The sequence below is a fragment of the Homo sapiens genome, chromosome 4 (genome assembly GCF_000001405.40).
Source record: "Homo sapiens chromosome 4, GRCh38.p14 Primary Assembly".
Lineage (NCBI taxonomy): Eukaryota > Metazoa > Chordata > Mammalia > Primates > Hominidae > Homo > Homo sapiens.
Genome location: NC_000004.12, coordinates 10055416 through 10074138, shown reverse-complemented (window position 1 = coordinate 10074138; position 18723 = coordinate 10055416). Strand labels below are relative to the sequence as shown.

The 18723-nt window shown below is 42.6% G+C and overlaps 1 long non-coding RNA gene across 1 annotated transcript, besides 1 other annotated feature; it reads right to left on the bottom strand.

Annotated features, from left to right (window-relative positions):
* LOC124900665 (uncharacterized) lies at positions 1147-10125 on the bottom strand. The gene is made up of 2 exons (XR_007058029.1): positions 10045-10125; positions 1147-1364 (listed from the first exon to the last, which is right to left on the bottom strand). It is a non-coding gene; the product is annotated as an uncharacterized LOC124900665 (long non-coding RNA).
* Positions 10182-10796: an enhancer, noted in NCBI's record as "OCT4-NANOG hESC enhancer chr4:10064967-10065581 (GRCh37/hg19 assembly coordinates)". NCBI's record gives its function as "activates a minimal SCP1, AML or CMV promoter by ChIP-STARR-seq in naive H9 embryonic stem cells {active_cell/tissue: H9 hESC(naive)}" and the evidence as "EXISTENCE:reporter gene assay evidence [ECO:0000049][PMID:30033119]".

Here is an 18723-nt window from a genome sequence, read left to right as displayed (position 1 = left end):
CAACCATACCGCCAGATCACCCTCTGACCTGGGTCACATCCCTGCCCTTCTCTGAGCCTAAGTTTCTTTGTCAACTGAAAACACTGGACCAGATGATGTCTGCATCCCATCTACTTCTCAAATTCTTAGCAGCCTGTATAGCTTTCAGGTAAGGAATAGCATGCATTTAGATGTTAAAAATCAAATTCCCAAACATCCAAATTCATTGCAAAGTGAAAGGCACTGTTCTTTGAAACTGCCTTTTGTACTTTTGTAACAATTGTAAAGTTGTCTAAATGTGCAATCCCAATTAAAAAAAAAGTCTTCGAAGAGTCTAAGGATACTGCTTCTTAGAAAAGTCAGGGGATAAAATGTTAGTCTCTAACATCTGAAGCTGGGGCTGCCTCTTAATAATTAAAAGTCCACAAATGACTTTGTTCCTATGTGTATTTTGGGTTAGGAAGAAGGTACTTTTCACATCAATGGGAATGGTGAACCATTCAGTAAATGGTGATGATAAAACTGGGTGACAAAAATAGTCTTGCTTACCTTGTCTTTGCAGCAAAAACCGTAAGAGGGCAAGAAAATACTGAATTTAGCCACACAAACGCTAGTGTTTCTAAGAATGACAAAAATGGTAGAGAATAGAAGTGATATATTTGACTATGTATTTTTAAAATCTGTTGAAGAGGGAAAAACCACCAGTCCCAAAATCAAAAAAGACAAATGGCACAAAAACTTTCAACATGTACTAGACCAAAGGGTGTGTTTGTTTAACACCTGACATAATTTGTCTTTAATACAGGTTAAATTTTTTTATCTTTAGTACAGGTTAAATTTTTTTCATGGATATTATGTCCATACATGGGAAAGTTTTCAAAATATGTGATTAAAAACTAAGTTACAGAATAATGCAGATAGTGTGGCTCCATTTTTGAAAAAAAGCCACAGACTCAAGGTACAAACAAGGCCCTGAGGCTTAGAAGATCCATGGCAGAAGGGAGGTACCTCTTGTTCCTTCATGCAATGAAATTAAAGGCTTAAAAAAATCTCTACCCAGGATCTGCATCAGTTTCAGGGAGGAAGATCTTTATATTCACAAGTACACTTTAAAGGAGAAAACTCAAGCCACCTTTTATCCCTGGAGAGAGAAGAATGCAGGCAGCATTTTCAAGCTAATCGTTTATTGGCAATCTGTGATCACAAGGTTGAGCACCAAATCGGAGTCATTTTGGGAGAGGAGAGAAGCTGGACTCCAGGCATGACCCAGACGGAGCTGATCCTCACACCTCCGTTGAAGGCAGAATATCTTTGTGCACATCAGCTTCATTCTGCAGACCAGCTTTGGCTACCTGGAACACTGTTCAGGATTCCAAGACCTCGGGCTGCAGTGGAACAAGACATTGATCTGAGATTAATTATGACCAGCAAGGATCAACACCTGTGGATGGAGAGGGGAGGGGAGGGTGCAGGCATCTCCTGTCATGCTCATTGGTCAGCTTAGAGACTTGCAGACCTGGCACTCGCCCTAGAGGAAGCAGTGTAGTGAGAAGAAAGCCAGACTTAAGGGATGTTGGCTTCTGTTTCCAGCTCTGACACACCGACCTTTTGGTTAGAAGAAGCTCAACTAGAAGACTTAGATCCTAAGAGCTTCTTGGGGATGTAGAACAAAGTCTGCTTCCATTAGGGCACTGCCCTTTTGAAATGATCATGTAGATAACATGCATTTGAACAATTGGATCAGTTTTTGAGAAGTGAATGTGTGTGTGTGTGTGTGTATGCCTGTGCAGACTGACAGGATATGGTGGAATCGAATCCCTGCTGCAGAGTTTTCACATTTACAGCTGATCACTGCATTAACAAAAATGTATTGATCACCAAACTGACATTGTTTAGCATAACAATTTTTCTTCAAATGATTACTGTGTTAGCAAAAGGATCTCTTGGGTTCAACCTTAGGCCAGTGTTTGACCCTGAGCCTGTTAGAACCTCATGTGTCGTATCTGGACCTCTGAGAGCTGGGGGCCCCTTTGTGCTGTAAACCAGTACAATGTGGTGCTCTTGACACTAGGAAATTATTGAAGACCCCCAAAGAGCTTTTGGTTATGTATCTTTCCAAAAATGGAAAGACAAAAAATTTTAAACATTTATTAATGTCTCTACCAATTACAAACCCATTACATGTTATCATAGCAAACTTTAAAGAAAAATCTTTTTCAAAACACTAGTAGAAGAGTAACATTGTTTTACATTTTGGAAAATCACGTCTGCCTTCTCCATTCAATGTGTGAAATACATTTTTTTTTTTTTTGGAAATACATAAAGAAAATGGTCTCCCACAGATTCACAGTTGGAAAAGGAATAAGAACTTGAATAGCGTTTTCAGAGAACTGGATTTTTATCCTTGGCACTATACCAAAATCCAACAAGTGAAAATTTCTTAAAGGTTCATGCAGTGTGAAATCTGAAACCCTATCAATGAATCTTTAGCCCCCCTGTCAAAATCCACTTGGAACACAACTTTTATCTGTGCACAATTTTGTGCCATTATTTGATTATTTGAAAAAAAGTGATTCATTGAGTTATGCTAATCTTTCAAATGTGGACAAATTTTGGAAAGTATTTTTAAAAATCACATTTCTACAGGTTACCACCAATCTCGACAGAGACATCATTTAACTGTTAAGAACCCACTAGGCTCACGGAACTTGCAGTTCCAAATGAATATTCCAGGTCCTGGGGTGTGTCTGTCCTCATGCTTTCCCATCATCTGTCTTGTTTGCCAGGCTGAGGCTGAGTTGCATCTACATTTTGGTTTGAGAAGAGGCAGAAAGTGTGGCAGAGGCACACGTGCAGTCTTCAGGGCCACACCCCCGCCATGTCCACTCCCATTTTAGGAGGAACTGTTAGTCAGGTGAGCATATCTACCTTGGAGGGGCAGGTGGCTGGAATAGGAGGCTGGCAGCCCCTGGTTAGGTGGCCCCAGGCCCAGCCATGACTCCATTGCTCCAGGGAAGAGAAGAGAGCCAGCCCACTCTTCAAGAACCAAATTCTAATATAATACATCCTTGACACGTTAATTTGCCTTGCTAAGCTTGAGTTGCTTTGGAAAAGATCTGGGAATATAATTTTTCCTGACATCTCTATTAACAGTATCCTTGGATTGCAAGGTGAATTTTTAAAAATACTTTATCAATTGCAAGTGCTCATCTGCCCAAACCAAGATTTTCTCAATGCAGTTACACTGCAGCAAAAACAAAATGGAGAAATGTTTGATTGCTGAGATGGACATGAAATTGCTGAGACTGATACAAAACTGCAAATGTCTTTGATAGGAAGCTTCAGTCCCAGTCTGTAATCTAAACTGATTTAAAAATAAGGACATAATTATTTTGATGGGTAAAAGATAAAAGGTTTTTTCAGCAACTTTGGGGATCTACTCGCTGCCATGTCTTGGTCACCTGCCTCTTCTGGCAGTTCCTTTCACTTTGTTCCCAATGCGATTTGGAGGAAGGAACACTGGGCTCGAATCAAGGACATTTAAATTCCAGACTCTCCTCTGCCATTGTCAGCTGGGCATCTTTCGCTGCAGACAAAATGCCTCTGTGGTTTTCAGTTTCTCCATTTGTTCATTTCTTTATTCATTTTTGCTGTTTTTTTGAGCATTATGTCAGGTATTGTTTTAGGTTAGGGGTTAGTAATATGGGAATTACAAATTATAATAATATTAGCTTCTACTATTCACTAGAGGCTAAGTAATGTGCAGACGATGTGCTATGCACTTCACAGATATTTAGGTTCACCTGATAAAATACAGGATAGGCTGGGTGCAGCGGCACACAGCGGCACACACCTGTAATCTCAACTACGTGGGAGGATCGCTTGAGCCCAGGAGTTTGAGACCAGCCTGGGCAACATGAGTGAGATCCTCCATCTCAAAAATAAATAAGTAAATAAAGTAATAAAATACAGGCCATCCAGTTACATATCAATATCAGATAAATAATTTTTTAGTACAAGTATATCCCAAATATTGCACAGACATACTAAAAGCATTGTTGATCTGAAATTTAAATTTAACTGGGCATCCTGTGTGTGTTTTTTTTTTTTAACAAAATCTGTCCATGTTGCATACATTGTTATTCCACTTTATTCTCACAATAGTTCTATGAGGAGTAGACGTTATATCCCCATGTAGCAGACAATGAAACGGACAATTACCAGCTGGGTAATTTTGGGCAAATGATTGAACTCCTGCAGGAAGTAAATAAAATAGAGACTTGAAATTAATTCTGCCTGACACTGAGCCCTGATGGAAGTTCTTTGTTATTTCAGATGCAGAAGACGTAGGAAGACAAGCCACAGTTGTATGGTTGCTGCCTGTGAAGCAGTGAGCCACCTGTCCCTGTGTGCAGCAAATGGATGGCAGCTCAAAGGGTTAAACTGAAGATAATTGAATGAAGGGACCCTTTGGAGAGGCGCAGGTAGGATTAAGGAAGCCAGGAAGGGGTGGAAGCACTCAGAAAGTAGCTCAGAAGGAAGTCGTTCCCAGTGCTAGGCCTGCAGACACAAGGCGGGGGGAACCTGTACCCACCAAGAATGGGAGCCAAGAGTGCGAGGCTGAGGTGTATCTTGGAGCCTCCCATTGGCCCAAACCCAACAGGAGCCATAGGAGGCCCTGGTTCACAGAGCCCCTCCCCAGCTTTGTAGCTGCCACCGCTTGGCAACTGCCCTTAGGTGCACAGCAAGACTGAATAACCACAGTGTCCCTGCAGATGGGGGCAGTCCTGTGCACGGCCTCCATGAAACCCTCACTGTCCAGCTCCCGTCCTGTGGCTCCACCAGCTTCAGATTGCATCTTTTGTCGTCATGCTGCTGCCTCCACATCCCATTTGGGCAGCTCGCCCTCCAGGATAGCATCTGCATTCTGGGAAGGAAAGCTGAGAAGGGAAGGTGGAGGAGGAAGCGGTTAGTGCTTAGAGTAGCAAAGCTTTTTTTGTTTGTTTGTTTAGACGGAATCTCTCTGTCAGCCAGGCTGGAGTGTGGTGGCACAATCTCGGCTCACTGCAACCTCCGCCTCCCAGGTTCAAGCAATTCTCCTGCCTCAGCTTCCTGAGTAGCTGGAACTACAGGTGGTGCCACCATACCTAGCTAATTTTTCCTCTTTTTAGTAGAGATACAGGGCTGCGTGGGGATTACATGAAATACTCCAAGTAAAGCCCTAAATGAATACTTGACCCACAGCAAATATAATTAATATTAGGAATTATCATTGTTTTAGTAGATGTGAAAGAAAGGCTGTTATCAAACTATAAGTAATGTATACATGCTAGTTACCACTGTGAACACAGGACATGAAATAAGTATCCAATTAGTGATAATATACAATGAATTGTGACTGTGCTCCCAGAGAAGCCAGGTGAAGGCCAGGGGAAATTCAGAGGACCATCTCTGGCTGGGACATCAGGGCAGGCTTCCTGGAGCAGGAGGTCCCTCAAGACTGGAGAGGACACTTTCAGGAAGTCAACCAAGACTGAGGATGTGACTGACATTCCTGGAAAATATCAAGGTGGAATTTAGTATCTTCCAGTGTTCTTACATGGAATCATTTGTTCATTTCTCCTGTGGAGATTAAAAAACTACAAACCTCACATTCTTTACCATAAAAATCTCCCATTTTTAAAATTCTTATATTTAGTCCTAGATTTCTGTGAGTCTTCCTCATTTGCCCCTGGCTATCATCATCCTACATAAAATCAGGGATGGTTGGCATCCTAACTGGCAGCTACTAGGAAAAGGAAACTGAGAGAAGATAGGATTCTAAAGCTGCCACTGCCTGGAAAATCTTGTTAGATAATGATACAAGTTAGGAGCATTGATAACAACACGTTTTTCACTTACTGAGGTCTAAGTTTTGGGTCATCCAATTGTCATCCTACTCTTTACCTTGTCACCACAAAAATGTTCTTGCTGGGTGAGTCGGAATGTATTAATTACCTATCAAACAATTGAATATTATATCAATAAATTATGTAAATATTAATATTTTAATAAATAGCAATACAAATTAATAGTTCATGTGATTAATTCTTAATCAGCTAATTAATTTTAAAAGGAAAAAAGAATCTTAGATGAAACATTCCAGAGACGTCCCAAGACATTAGATACCCTATGCCAAGGACGCACGTTTTCTTGTCCCATGAGCCAGGCTAGCCCCAGGGACCCTAAACTGGGTCTTTTCACTTAGATTCTGTTGCAGCATTTTGCGATTATAACCTGATCTGGTACAATGACCATTCCACTCTTCCACTCCCCTATTTATTTTTTTTAAGAAGGATAAAAACCTCCTTGCTCATCATACTAGTGTCTTACATATAAATGGCTATCAGGGTTTGTGCCTTCATAGGGACTTGAAGATGGCAAAGCTGTTCAGTCACACAACAAAATCGGTTGTCCCCACAGGCCCTGGTGGGATGTCAGCATTATCCTTTCCATGTTTTGGTGTGGGAAATGGAATTGCAGGGAAGCTAGGTTTGGAGTAACTTGTATCCCTGGGATGATGGAAGTGGCTGCAAGACAAGAAGCCCGGTTCATAGCCCAGCATCCCTGATGGACGGGCCTCACTGCTACTGCAGTAGGACAAAGTAGACTCTGAAGGGGCTTCGCAATAGCAAAAGGAAGCAACCACAGGACTTGCTTTGGTGGCCTTGAGGGAGCCAAGATGGCCGCAGTCAGACACATTTAAGCTTGCTGCAAGCAGATGCGGGCTGAGTGGCCAGTATAAACTGAAGTGCACTTTCGGGGCCCACCTTCTACGTTAGGCACCATTTGGACACTGCCATAGAGATGTGTGTTGTCTGATGAAAAAAGCACTACCCTTGTGAACAGAATAGCCTGGGGTCCTGCACCTGCTTCTCACCCACTGATTAACCTTGGACAAGGTAATCACAGACCCTGAACCCCCATGCATAAAATGGCATGACACGCCCCCACCCCAGCATATGCCACCAGGCTGGTGAGATGAGGAAAGCCACATTTGAGGGGAGTTTATTAGCTAGGGTGGTTTAGGCACACAGGCAAGGAATGAGTTCTTAAGAACGTAACTGAGGGCTCGTGCTCTTGTATAAGAAATACTTCGTTTGAACTAGTGCTGCCTTCACAGAAGATCACATCATGCAGCCAAAAAATTAAAAGGATTGTAAGGGATAATGCTGGCTGCAGCCGTCAATGTGGCCCCATTGAGAGCAGGATGAGGACGTTTACAGATGGAGACAGACACCATTTCACTGGCAATTGAATTAGAATCATCAGCTTAGCTCGCTTCTGGTCCCATCACAGATTAATCTAAATGGCACCCCAAGGAGACATCATTTTTTAAGCAGTTTGGGATTAGAAAAGGTCACACTTCTGAGAACGCTCCAGAGAGAAACACAGTGGTACCATTGTCTTCTGAATTCTAGCTTACCCTGATTTTGTTTGTACTGCATAAAGTCAGGTCAAGCAGTATGCCTCAAATAACTTGGATTTTTGACAATTACGCCTTCTTTCATGGCTGCCTTCCTGCCCTCCCTCTTTCTATTCCTTTCTCTGTCCTACCTCCCTCCCTTTCTTCTTCTTTCAATTACAGCCTCTAGTTCATTGGATTTGGAAACAAAATGAATATTATTTGAAGATTGCAAAGTATTCATCAAAACTCAGGTTTTGCCAAATTAAATGGCCGCAAACAAACCACAGTCTTTGCCCTGGGAGGAAAGCTGCCTTGATCACTGTCTCAGCCACAAGAAACAAACACATTCTTGGGTTTAGCTGACATGTCCCATAGAGACCTCATCCGTTTCTTCACTTTATGGCACATGGATGTACTAGTTATTTAGCTTTTGCTCATGTAACTTGTAAAACCTTCTCTAAGTGGCTTAAAAAAACTTCTTGGGTCCCACTCTGTTGCCTAGGCTGGAGTGCAGTGGTGCGATCATGGCTCTCTGCAGCTTCAAACTCCTGGGCTCAAGGGATCATCACATCTCAGCCTGTCGAGTAGTTGGGACTACAGGCACGCACCACCATATCTGGCTTCTAAGTGGCTCTTGCTCTTTTCAGTTATTCCTTTCTTTTCTGGTTTTTTTTTTTTTTTTTTTGAGATGGAGTCTCGCTCTGTTGCCCAGGCTGGAGTGCAGTGACGCAATCTCAGGTCACTGCAACCTTTGCCCCCCAGGTTCAATCAATTCTTGTGCCTCAGCCTCGCCAGTAGCTCGGATTAACAGGCACATGCCGCCATGCCCAGCTAATTTTTGTATTTTTAGTAGAGACAGGTTTCACCATGTTGGCCAGGCTGGTCTCAAACTCCTAACCTTAAGTGATCCGCCCACCTCAGCCTTCCAAAGTGTTGAGATTATGGTGTGAGCCACCGCGCCTGGCTCTTTTCAGTTTTTCAGTCTTTGCTTTCAACTGGAGCACATTCTCAGCAGCAGCTTTTGCTGTAGCAAGCAGTGTCAACAGCATCCCTCCGGCAGGTGACTTCCTTGAGTTGGCTTCCTCAACCTCAGCACAACCAACTACTCACATTTCAGGTGGGACAGTTCTTTGTGTGGGGGCTGTCCTGTACATTGCAGGGTGTCAGCGGCATCCCTGGCCCCCATTAGATGCCAGTAGTACCCCCTGCCCCAGTCGTCACAACCAAAAATCTCTCCGGACATTGCTAATTCAGAAAAGAGTTCCTTTTTATTTTTAAAGAGCTAGGTTTTTGTTGCTGTTGTTACAACTCTGTGATCTTAACAGATTAATTTTCTTAGGAAGAAAAACCATGACTGAGATATTTAGCTTCTTCGTTATAATTCAAAATTCACTCAATCATTTATTCACTCATGTAATCAACTGTAGGGGCAGCAAAATTCCACTTCCATACTCTTAGGGTCCTGCTTGTGCTGGAGAATTTAACTGACATAAGACAGATGAACAGGAGGAAAGCATGCACATTTTTAAATACAAGTTTTATGTAGCACAGGTACCCTCATAAGGAAATAAAGTCCTGAAGAAGTAGTCAGATATACTGAATTGGACAAATAATAGTAAGTTGTGAAGAAGCAACTAAATGATGTGGGGAGGCTTAAAAGGTAAGAGTTATTTGCACAAGGTTGGTACAGAATTCTTTCCATCTTAGCTTCTCATCTTTGAGAATAAGACTGTTGCATCTTTCACATAGGGATCTCATCTTTTGCTTTTAACAAATGGCATGAAGGTCAGAGTGATCTTCTTGCATCTGCTATTTTTCTTTTTCTTGTTTTTTTTTTCGAGACGGAGTCTTGCTCTGTCACCCAGGCTGGAGTGCAGTAAAGCGATCTCCGCTCACTGCAAGCTCTGCCTTCCGGGTTCACGCCATTCTCCTGCCTCAGCCTCCCGAGTAGCTAGGACTATAGGCGCCCACCACCCCGCCAGGCTAATTTTTTTTTTTTTTTTTTTGTATCTTTAGTAGAGACAGGGTTTCACCATATTAGCCAGGATGGTCTCGATCTCCTGACCTCGTGATCCTCCCGCCTCGGCCTCCCAAAGTGCTGGAATTACAGGTATGAGCCACCGCGCCCGGCCACACCTGCTGTTTTTCAAGTGGCTTTAACTTAGTGTCAATATGCCCGAGTGGTGTAATTTCACTCCTTCAGAGCCAATGTTCATTGGTCATTAACTAGGCCCAGACACCTCACTTGGCTTTGGGGACACACGCAGCTTTGAGAATAAAACAGACATAGGTTGTCTTGTGTCACTGCATTTATTTTATTTTTTAAAGACAGGGTCTCACTCTGTCACCTGGGCTGAAGTGCAGTGGTGCCATCATAGCTCACTGCAGCCTCAAACTCCTGGGCTCAAGTGATCCTTCCACCTCGGCCTCCCAAAGTGCTGGGACTACAGACATGAGCCACCACACCTGGAAATTTCACTACATTTATAGAGCAGTGGAGAAGAAGGTAAACAAGGGATTCCAGAAGTGCCACGTTGGTAAAGAATGCTCACACAGCTGTGGGAGCCCGATGAGGGACATGAGGTCCAGCCTGGCATGGATAGGAATTATCATCCTACCTTTCTGGTTTCCATGAGGTCCTGATGTACAGAGCATAGCATACTGCCATGTCCTTGAATGCCCATTTCCCATTCCTCCTGCCAGCCTTGATTTAGAAGTCCTTCTCCTGCTTTCTGGAGGCCTGCATTGTCTCTGGTGTCTGAGGTCCCTGGTTGCAGTGCTCAGCTTAAAACAGCAGAGAGCAGCTTCAGATCATGGCTGGGCAGAGGCTGAGTCAGCCTGCAGGATAACTGGCTCCTAGCAGAGGCGCTAAGGAAGCCTGGTATGGGCCAACGGACCAGGCAGGCCCTCCTTCCAAGCCTCGGCCAACAGGAACCCGTTTCCTGGCTTTCAGCCCTCAAAGAAACTGCCTGGGTCTGTTTTGAAAGATCTCGAGTTGGCTGAAAGGGACATTTTCCCCATGACTGGCACTGGTTGTCAAGCCTGCTGGGCCCAGCAGGAGGAATGCCATCTCTTTTATCTCACCTTCTTTGTTAAGAGGATGGGCTGGCAGGGAACCGCTTTGCAATTATCTTGTTTAAGATGAGCAGAGGAGATAGTTGCTCCCTGCAGGGATAACCCAGGTCCCCAAGCCATCTCCTTTAACCAGCAAATACATGAGCATTATTCTAGCTCATGGCCAGGGTGGGAGGAGGCTTGGTTAACTGGACACGGTGGCCTGGCGCCTCACTCTCCCTATCAAATCCTATCAAAGCTTCTCTGTTCTCAGCTTCTTTCTCTTGGGCAAAAGAGGTAAATTGCAATAATTTGTTCCGAAGGGGTGCTAATGGGTGGCACTCAGTTGATTTCTCATTCTCCCCACTTCCCCAAATCACTTAGCTGGTATCTCCGTATAAACAAGCCCTTCTCTACTTGAACTGAGGACTAAAGGAAATATATTTGTCCATATAATGGGGCTTTTATCCAAGAAGCATTTCTCAAAGTGTGGTCCAAGACCACCCCTATCTGTAACGACTTATAAAAATACGGATTTCCTTCAGCTCAGCTACATTGCCACAAATGACAGGATTGTATTCTTTCTCGTGGTCAAATTTGTATTCCGAGGTGTATGTACACTTTCTTCATCCACTCATTTGTTGATGGACACAGGTTGATTCCATATCTTGGCTATTGTGAATAGTGCTGCAATACACATGGGAGTGCAGACAACTCTTTGGGAAATGGATTTCCCTGCCTTTCCTTTGGATATATACCCAGTAGTGGGATTACTGGATCATATGGTAAGTGAAATAAGCCAGGCACAGAAAGGTAAATACCACATGTTCTCACTTGTATGTGGAAGCTAAAAACGTTGAGCCTATAAAAGTAAGGAATAGGTTGGGTGCAGTGGCTCATGCCTGTAATCCCAGCACTTTGGGAGGCCAAGGCTGGCAGATCACGAGGTCAGGAAATCGAGACCATCCTGGCTAACAATGAAACCGCGTCTCTACTAAAAATACAAAAAATTAGCCAGGCGTGGTGGCACGCACCCGTAGTCCCAGCTACTTAGAATGCTGAGGCAGGAGAATCGTTTGAACCTGGGAGGCAGAGGTTGCAGTGGCTGAGATCACGTCACTGAACTCCAGCCTGGGTGACAGAATGAGACTCCATCTCAAAAAAAAAAAAAAAGAAAAAAGAAAGAAAAGTAAAGAGTAGAACTGTAGCTACTAGAAGCTGGGAAGGATGATGGGGAGAGGAGGATAGGGAGAGGTTGGTTAATTGTTACTAAATTACATCTACATGGGAGGAATAAGCTATAGCATTCTATGGCCCTGTAGTTGATAATTTGTTTTCATAATGGTTTCAAATATGAGAGAATTTTGAATGTTTCCAGCATAAAGACATAATAAATATTTGAGGTGATGAATATGCTGACTACCCTGATTTGAACATTATACCTTTGTTTACATGTATCAAAATATAATATGTGTCCCATAAATATGTACAATTATTATGTGTCAATTACAAATAATTTTCAATTTTAAAAATATGGATTTCCACTGTTTGGCAGCATCTACTAGAATTAGACATATGCCTATCCTGCACCCATCAATTCCATGGCTAAGAATATACAGGAGAATGGAGCATTTATGCCCAGCCAAAGATATGGTTAGGAACATTTGAGCGGCACTGTTCAATAGCCCCAAACTGGAATCAACCTAGACGTCCATCAACAGGAGAATGGAGGAGCAAACAGATTGTGATTTATCCATATTGGGCAATAAAAGTGAAGGAACTACCAATACAGTCAACATGATTCATCTCATAAACATGACATTGAGCAGGAGAATCCAGACATAAGAGTATCGGCTGTGTGATTCCATTTATAGGAAGCTCAAGAACAGGCTCAACTACTCTGTAGGGCCAGAAATTAGAATAATGTTACCTGGAGTGGGGCTGGGAGTTATTGACTGGGAAGGGGCATCAAGGAGGCTTTTGGGTTATTGGAAATGGTCAATATCTTGACCTGAATGGTGGTTATACACGTACTTATGTAAAAATGCACTGAGCTCTATACTTAAGATCTATAAACTTTACTATCTGTAACACACACACACGCGCGCACCACGCACTTCCCAGCCTTATTCCAGACCTACCAAACCCAAATCTCTCTGCGAATCTGCATTTTGCATCCCTGGTGGTGCCAATGCACATTGACTACCAGGGTTGCAGGTGGTGCGATTGTGAGGGGGTCATTTTGTCAACCCCCAAATCACACCAAACCCTATTTCCCATCTGGGGTGGAACATCACAAGATTTTCATACGTCAGTCCCTAAGGGAATAAGATTGGTGTGAGATTTCCCACCGGTTAAGATTATGGACAAGGACCCTGTGAACAAGATTGTCACAGTCCCTACCAAGACAGAAGCCACACTGTTATGGAAATATAGTTAGCCAACACTTTCACTTCCTTTCAATTGAAAGTTTAAAACAATTACTTCTATCCTTCAAACTTTTTGTGGACAAACATGTATTTTAAATTTAGAATCAGTCTATATGTAATGTTTGATCCTGTCCCTTTCTCTGTGTCACATCATCCCATGTTCAGCGTTATTAGCAAGAGGAGGCAGGACACGTTTGTCAAGTGTCTGGAATAGGCAAGACCTCCTGTATTTAGTCATCTCATTGGAGCCTTAAAACAAACCTATGAGCAAAAATACTAGGCTCATAAGGATTAAGCAACTACCGCAAAGGTACACAGCAAGTAGGTGCATAGTGGGGATTTGATCCTGATCTAACACCACAAAAAACTCTCTGGTGCTAACAGTCTACTACAGGATTCCAACTTTATTTTGTTTTAACTTGTGGCCATGAGTTACCTCTGTCATTACAAACTATGAGTAAACCTCATCTTAAAATATCTGCATCTTACCCAACTAGTAAACCATTATTTAATTATTCCCCTAATTTCGACATTATCTCCATGTTTGCCAATCAAATGTCTTGGTAAATGTGTTTTAACATAAACCTTGTATTTAGGATTAATAGATTAGGAGAGATTATTACAAATGGAATAACCAGGACAAAGACTATGCACATTTGAAAGACAGGAATAATTTTACTGAACTGCTCTCCAAAAATATTCTATTAATTTGTGTTCCTTTCAATGGTCAGCCTGTCTCATCCCACCCTCATCAACTTAAGGCATCATAACTTGAAACAAACTTTGCTAGTATGGCACTGCAATTCAATTTGCATGGGCGAGTTTGGTCGTTTTTTTTTTTTTTATTTTTTGTTTTTTATTTTTTTTGAGACAGAGTCTCACTCTTGTCCCCTAGGCTGGAGTACGATGGCACAATCTCAGCTCACTGCAACTTCTGCCTCCCAGATACAAGTGATTCTCCGGCCTCAGCCTTCCAAGTAGCTGGGATTACAGGCGCCCGCCACCATGCTTGGCTAATTTCTGTATTTTTGGTAGAGATGAGGTTTCACCATGTTGGCCAGGATGGTCTTGAACTCCTGACCTCAGGTGATCCACCCGCCTCAGCCTCCCAAAGTGCTGGGATTACAGGCATGAGCCACCGCACTCGGCCAAGTTTGATCATTTTTAATGTATTTATTATTCGGCTATGTTTTTCCTTACGTAAATGTCTTAGACTTTGAAGTGTGAACTCTTCATATGTGTATTCAGGAGCTGGTACTATTTTATATTTGTCATAAATATGCCTCATGGATTAAATTTTGTTTTCTAATAATGTTTACGTTGCTGACTGGTAAAATGACTTCAATCTTTGTGTAGTCAAATCTATCAGTAAATTTCTTCATGACTTTTTATTTCTTTTAAACTTAGAAATCTTAGAAAATTAATTACCAAGTCAGAAGAATATTCACGTTTATTTTCTTTTGTGTTGTGATTTTACTTTGTCCTTATCCATCAATCAGCCATGAATGTGGAAGTGTGTGGATGTGTGACACTGTGTGTATAAGTGTGTGTGTGTGTGTGTGCAGCCACAAGCACACTGTGAGGTGAAGATTCAACTAGATATTTTTAACTTGCTACTTCATTAAAAAGTCTTTTTTATAAAAACTATGATGTCACAAATAATTTATAGTAATTTTTCAAGATATTTTGTCATTACTATTTTCAAGGTCAATTTCAAAGTCACATTTTCAAGTTAAAAATTACCCCACTGACCTTTTAAAAAATTGCTACGGTTACGTTTGTGCTTGATACTCATATTTTCAAAGCAAAGCATATTCTATTTAGTGATACTTATATAGGTATTAAATCTATAAAGAAAAGCAAAGGAACGATCAAAACAAAAATCAGGATAGTGCTTGCTTCTGGGGAGGAGAGAAGGAGCTGTGATTAGGAAGGGTACATGAGAGAGTCTAAAGTGTTGGTAAAAGTCTATTGCTTAACTTGAGTAGTGGCCATATTATTGATCTTTGGTGAATAATAAGATAACAAATAATTTAGCAAATGAAGCAATAGATGTTTATAATCTCACATTTTCTGTGGGTCAGGACTCTGGGCACAGCTCTCTGCAAGGCTATAATCAAGATGTTGGTTGGTTGGGCTGCAGTTTTATCTGAGGCTTAACTGGGGAAGGATCAGCCTCCAAGCTCATGTGGTTGTCAGCACCATTTGGTCTCTTGCCTGCTGAGGACTGGAGGCTGCTCCTCAGTTTCCTGCTACGTGGCTACCATATAAGGTGGCTTACAACATGGCATCTTGCTTCTTTATAGCCAGCAAGGGACAGAGAGTCTCCAGCAAGACTCATGCTACAATCTTTTTTTTTTTTTTTTGACTGAGTCTCTGTCTCCCAGGCTGGAGTGCAGTGGCGTGATCTTGGCTCACTTCAGCCTCCACCTCCCAGGTTCAAGCAAATCTCCTGCCTCAGCCTCCCAATTAGCTGGGACTACAGATGCGCACCACCACACTCGGCTAATTTTTGTATATTTTTAGTAGAGTCGGGGTTTCACCATGTTGGCCAGGCTGATCTTGAACTCCTGACCTCAAGTGATCCACCCACCTCAGCCTTCCGTGGTGATGGGATTACAGATGTGAGCCACCGCACCCAGCCAAGACTCATGTTACAATCTTATGTAACGAAACACATAATCACATATGTGGAACACATACATCCCCTCACCTTTACCATCCCCCGTATGACTAGAGGCAGGTCACATGTTCTGCCCACACTCACAGGCAGGGGATCCCAGAACACAAGAGTTTCAGATTTCAGGGGCTCTGTGTTCATTTACATGTGTTTGTTTGGTAATTGTACATATACATTTGATACGTATTTCTAAACCTATGATAGGTTTCACAATTTAAATATTTTAAAACTGTGACACAATTATTGTAACTGATTAATTTAGATCTGAGTGCACCCACATACATCCAAGCAAAAAGGATCTCACTGCCATTGATGGCTGAGTCTGAAATAAAATCTAGAACTGACTCAGGTGCCCAGGATGACTGACTCCTCATTTCTGAGATATTGGCAGTTGCCATGAACTCAGAAGGCACTCTTTATATTGTACTTGGAAATTTTCAAATTGTTTAGAAATTACTACCATGCCCAACTTTGATTTGGAAAAAAAAGAGGAATTCGTTTAATCTATAGGTAATTTAAAAAGAAATACAATTTTTATAATACTTATGATGTACACAGACCGTATCTCCAAAGGTTGAATCTTCTTTGACCCCTTAATAAAGTTTAGTAGTTTTATTCATTCACGTACTACACCTTTCATGCCAAATTTTTCCTATATTTTATTTTTGTTCCTATTGTGAATGGGCTCTTTATTTTTAGATTTCTGTGGACTGGGGCTATTAACCAGGAACATGACTGAGTTTTGGATATGCACCAAGTCTCTTGCCACTGTGCTAAACTACCATTAATTTTCCAAGAGTTTGTTTTTTGTTTTTTGTTTTTTTTTTTTTTAGGGTTTCTACGAACACAATGGCAAGATCTGGAACCTATGCCAGTTCTTGTTTCCTCCTTTTCAGTGGCCATAACCTTGATTTACGTCTCAGGGACCCAAGTTCCATAAAAAGCTTTAGCGGTCAGAGTCATACATCTCAGACTGTCAGCATCTACTCCAGGCCAGTCGCTTAACCTCTCTGTGCCTCAGTTTCCTCATTTGGAACGTGGAGCCATCATGGAATCTTCCTCGTTGAGTTATTGTGAGGGTTAAATAAGACAATACCTGCTTTAGCACAGTGTCCAATTCAAAGCTCAATACGTTTATTGATAAAGCATCATCATTGTTATATTTTAACAGGAACTTAAAAATGAAAGGGAGGAGACCCCAAGTTGTTAACACCATGCGGGGTGGCAGGAGCAGGCAGCAGGGGACAATGACACCTACCAGGCCTCCTTCCTCCTTGGGGGATGGGGCTGCATGCATTCTAGGCAGCATCTTATTTATCAAGAGTTTCAGGGAGGTGAAATGGCAGTACCAGCATCCCATTACTAACTTGAAGTGAGACTCAAATCCAGCCCACCTCCCTGCAAAGCCCATGCTCACCTCCCCAAGTCACCATCCTGGAGGGAGGATTTGCTCGGCTCAGAGGTTCTGAACCCTGGCTGCATGGAGGAACGTTGCAGGTTCTCTAACAATCTCTATCGATGCCTGACCCCACCCTCGACTAAATGACTTTGACGCTCTGAGGGTACCTTGACCTCAGCATCTTTTCACAGCTCTCCATGTGGTTGTCATGACCAGGGATGAGAACCACAGGTGGCCTCACTCCGGCATCTATAACACTGACGTTTCAGGCAGTAACTATGGAAACCTGGCCCAAATTCTAGATGAACTCACACACACCCGTCTCTTGTTAATAAATGAATTTGTCCATTGCTGCCTATGATGGTTATTTTTAATGTATCAACTTGGCTGGGCCACAGTGTTCAGATATGTGGTCAAACATTAATCTGGATGTTTCTGTGAAGGTTTTTTTTTTTTTTTTTAAATGAAACTCACATTTAAATCTGTGGATTTTGAATACAGCGGATTGCCCTCTATAACATGAGCTGGCGTCATCCAATCATTTGAAGGCCTTACTAGAACAAAGACTGACCCTATCCTAAGCAAGAAGGAATTCTGCCAGCAGATAACCTTTGAACTTGGGCTATGGCTCTTCCCTGGAACTCCAGCCTGTCTTACAGGTTTTGGATTTACCATGCTTCCACAATCATGTGCACAAATTTTTCTTTTTTGAGACAGCGTCTTACTCCTGTTGCCCAGGCTGGAGTGCAGTGGCACAATCATGGCTCACTGCAGCCTCCACTTCCTGGGCTCAGATGAGTCTCCCACCTCCACCTCCCCAGCAGTTGGGACTATAGGTACACTCAATCACACCTGGCTAATTTTTTGTATTTTTTGTAGAGATGAGATCTCACTATGTTGCCCAGGCTGGTCTAGAACTCCTGTGCTCAACTGATACTCCCTGCTTGGCCTCCCAAAATGCTGGGATTACAGGTATGCGCTGCTGCACCTGGTCGTGTGTGTCAATTTCTTAAAAAATCTCTCTCTGTGTACATACACACACACACACACACACACACCCTGCTCCAATTCTCTGGAGAACCCTGATGAAACACTACCATGATAAAAACTGGCCTCTTACTCAGCACAGTCATAAACAAAGCATCCCACTTGTATTAGTCTGTTTTCACGCTGCTCATAAAGACATACCTGAGACTGGGAAGAAAAATAGGTTTAACTGGACTTACAGTTCCACATGGCTGGGGAGGTCTCAGAATCATGGCGGGAGGTGAAAAGGACTTCTTACATGGCAGCTGCAAGAGAGAATGAAGAAGGAGCAAAAGCAGAAACCCGTGATAAACACATCAGATTTCATGAGACTTACTATCACTAGAGTAGCACAGGAAAGACTGGCCCCCATAATTAAATTACCTCCCCCTGGGTCCCTCCCACAACATGTGGGAATTCTGAGAGAGACAGTGCAAGTTGAGATTTGGGTGGGGACACGAACAAACCATATCACCACTCTGGCTTGTTTTGAAAACCCTGAGCAGACAATGAGTGTCACAGAAGCACAGGATATTCAACCTTGCCAGGGGCAATACAGAGCACCTGGTCTAACTAAAATAGAACACTAGAGTTAGAAATAACCCTGGGGCTATTATGCCCCCCAGGGGACATTTGGCAATGTCTGGAGACATTTTTGGTTGTCACAACTGAATGGGGGTGCTGCTGGCATCTGGTGGGCACAGGTGAG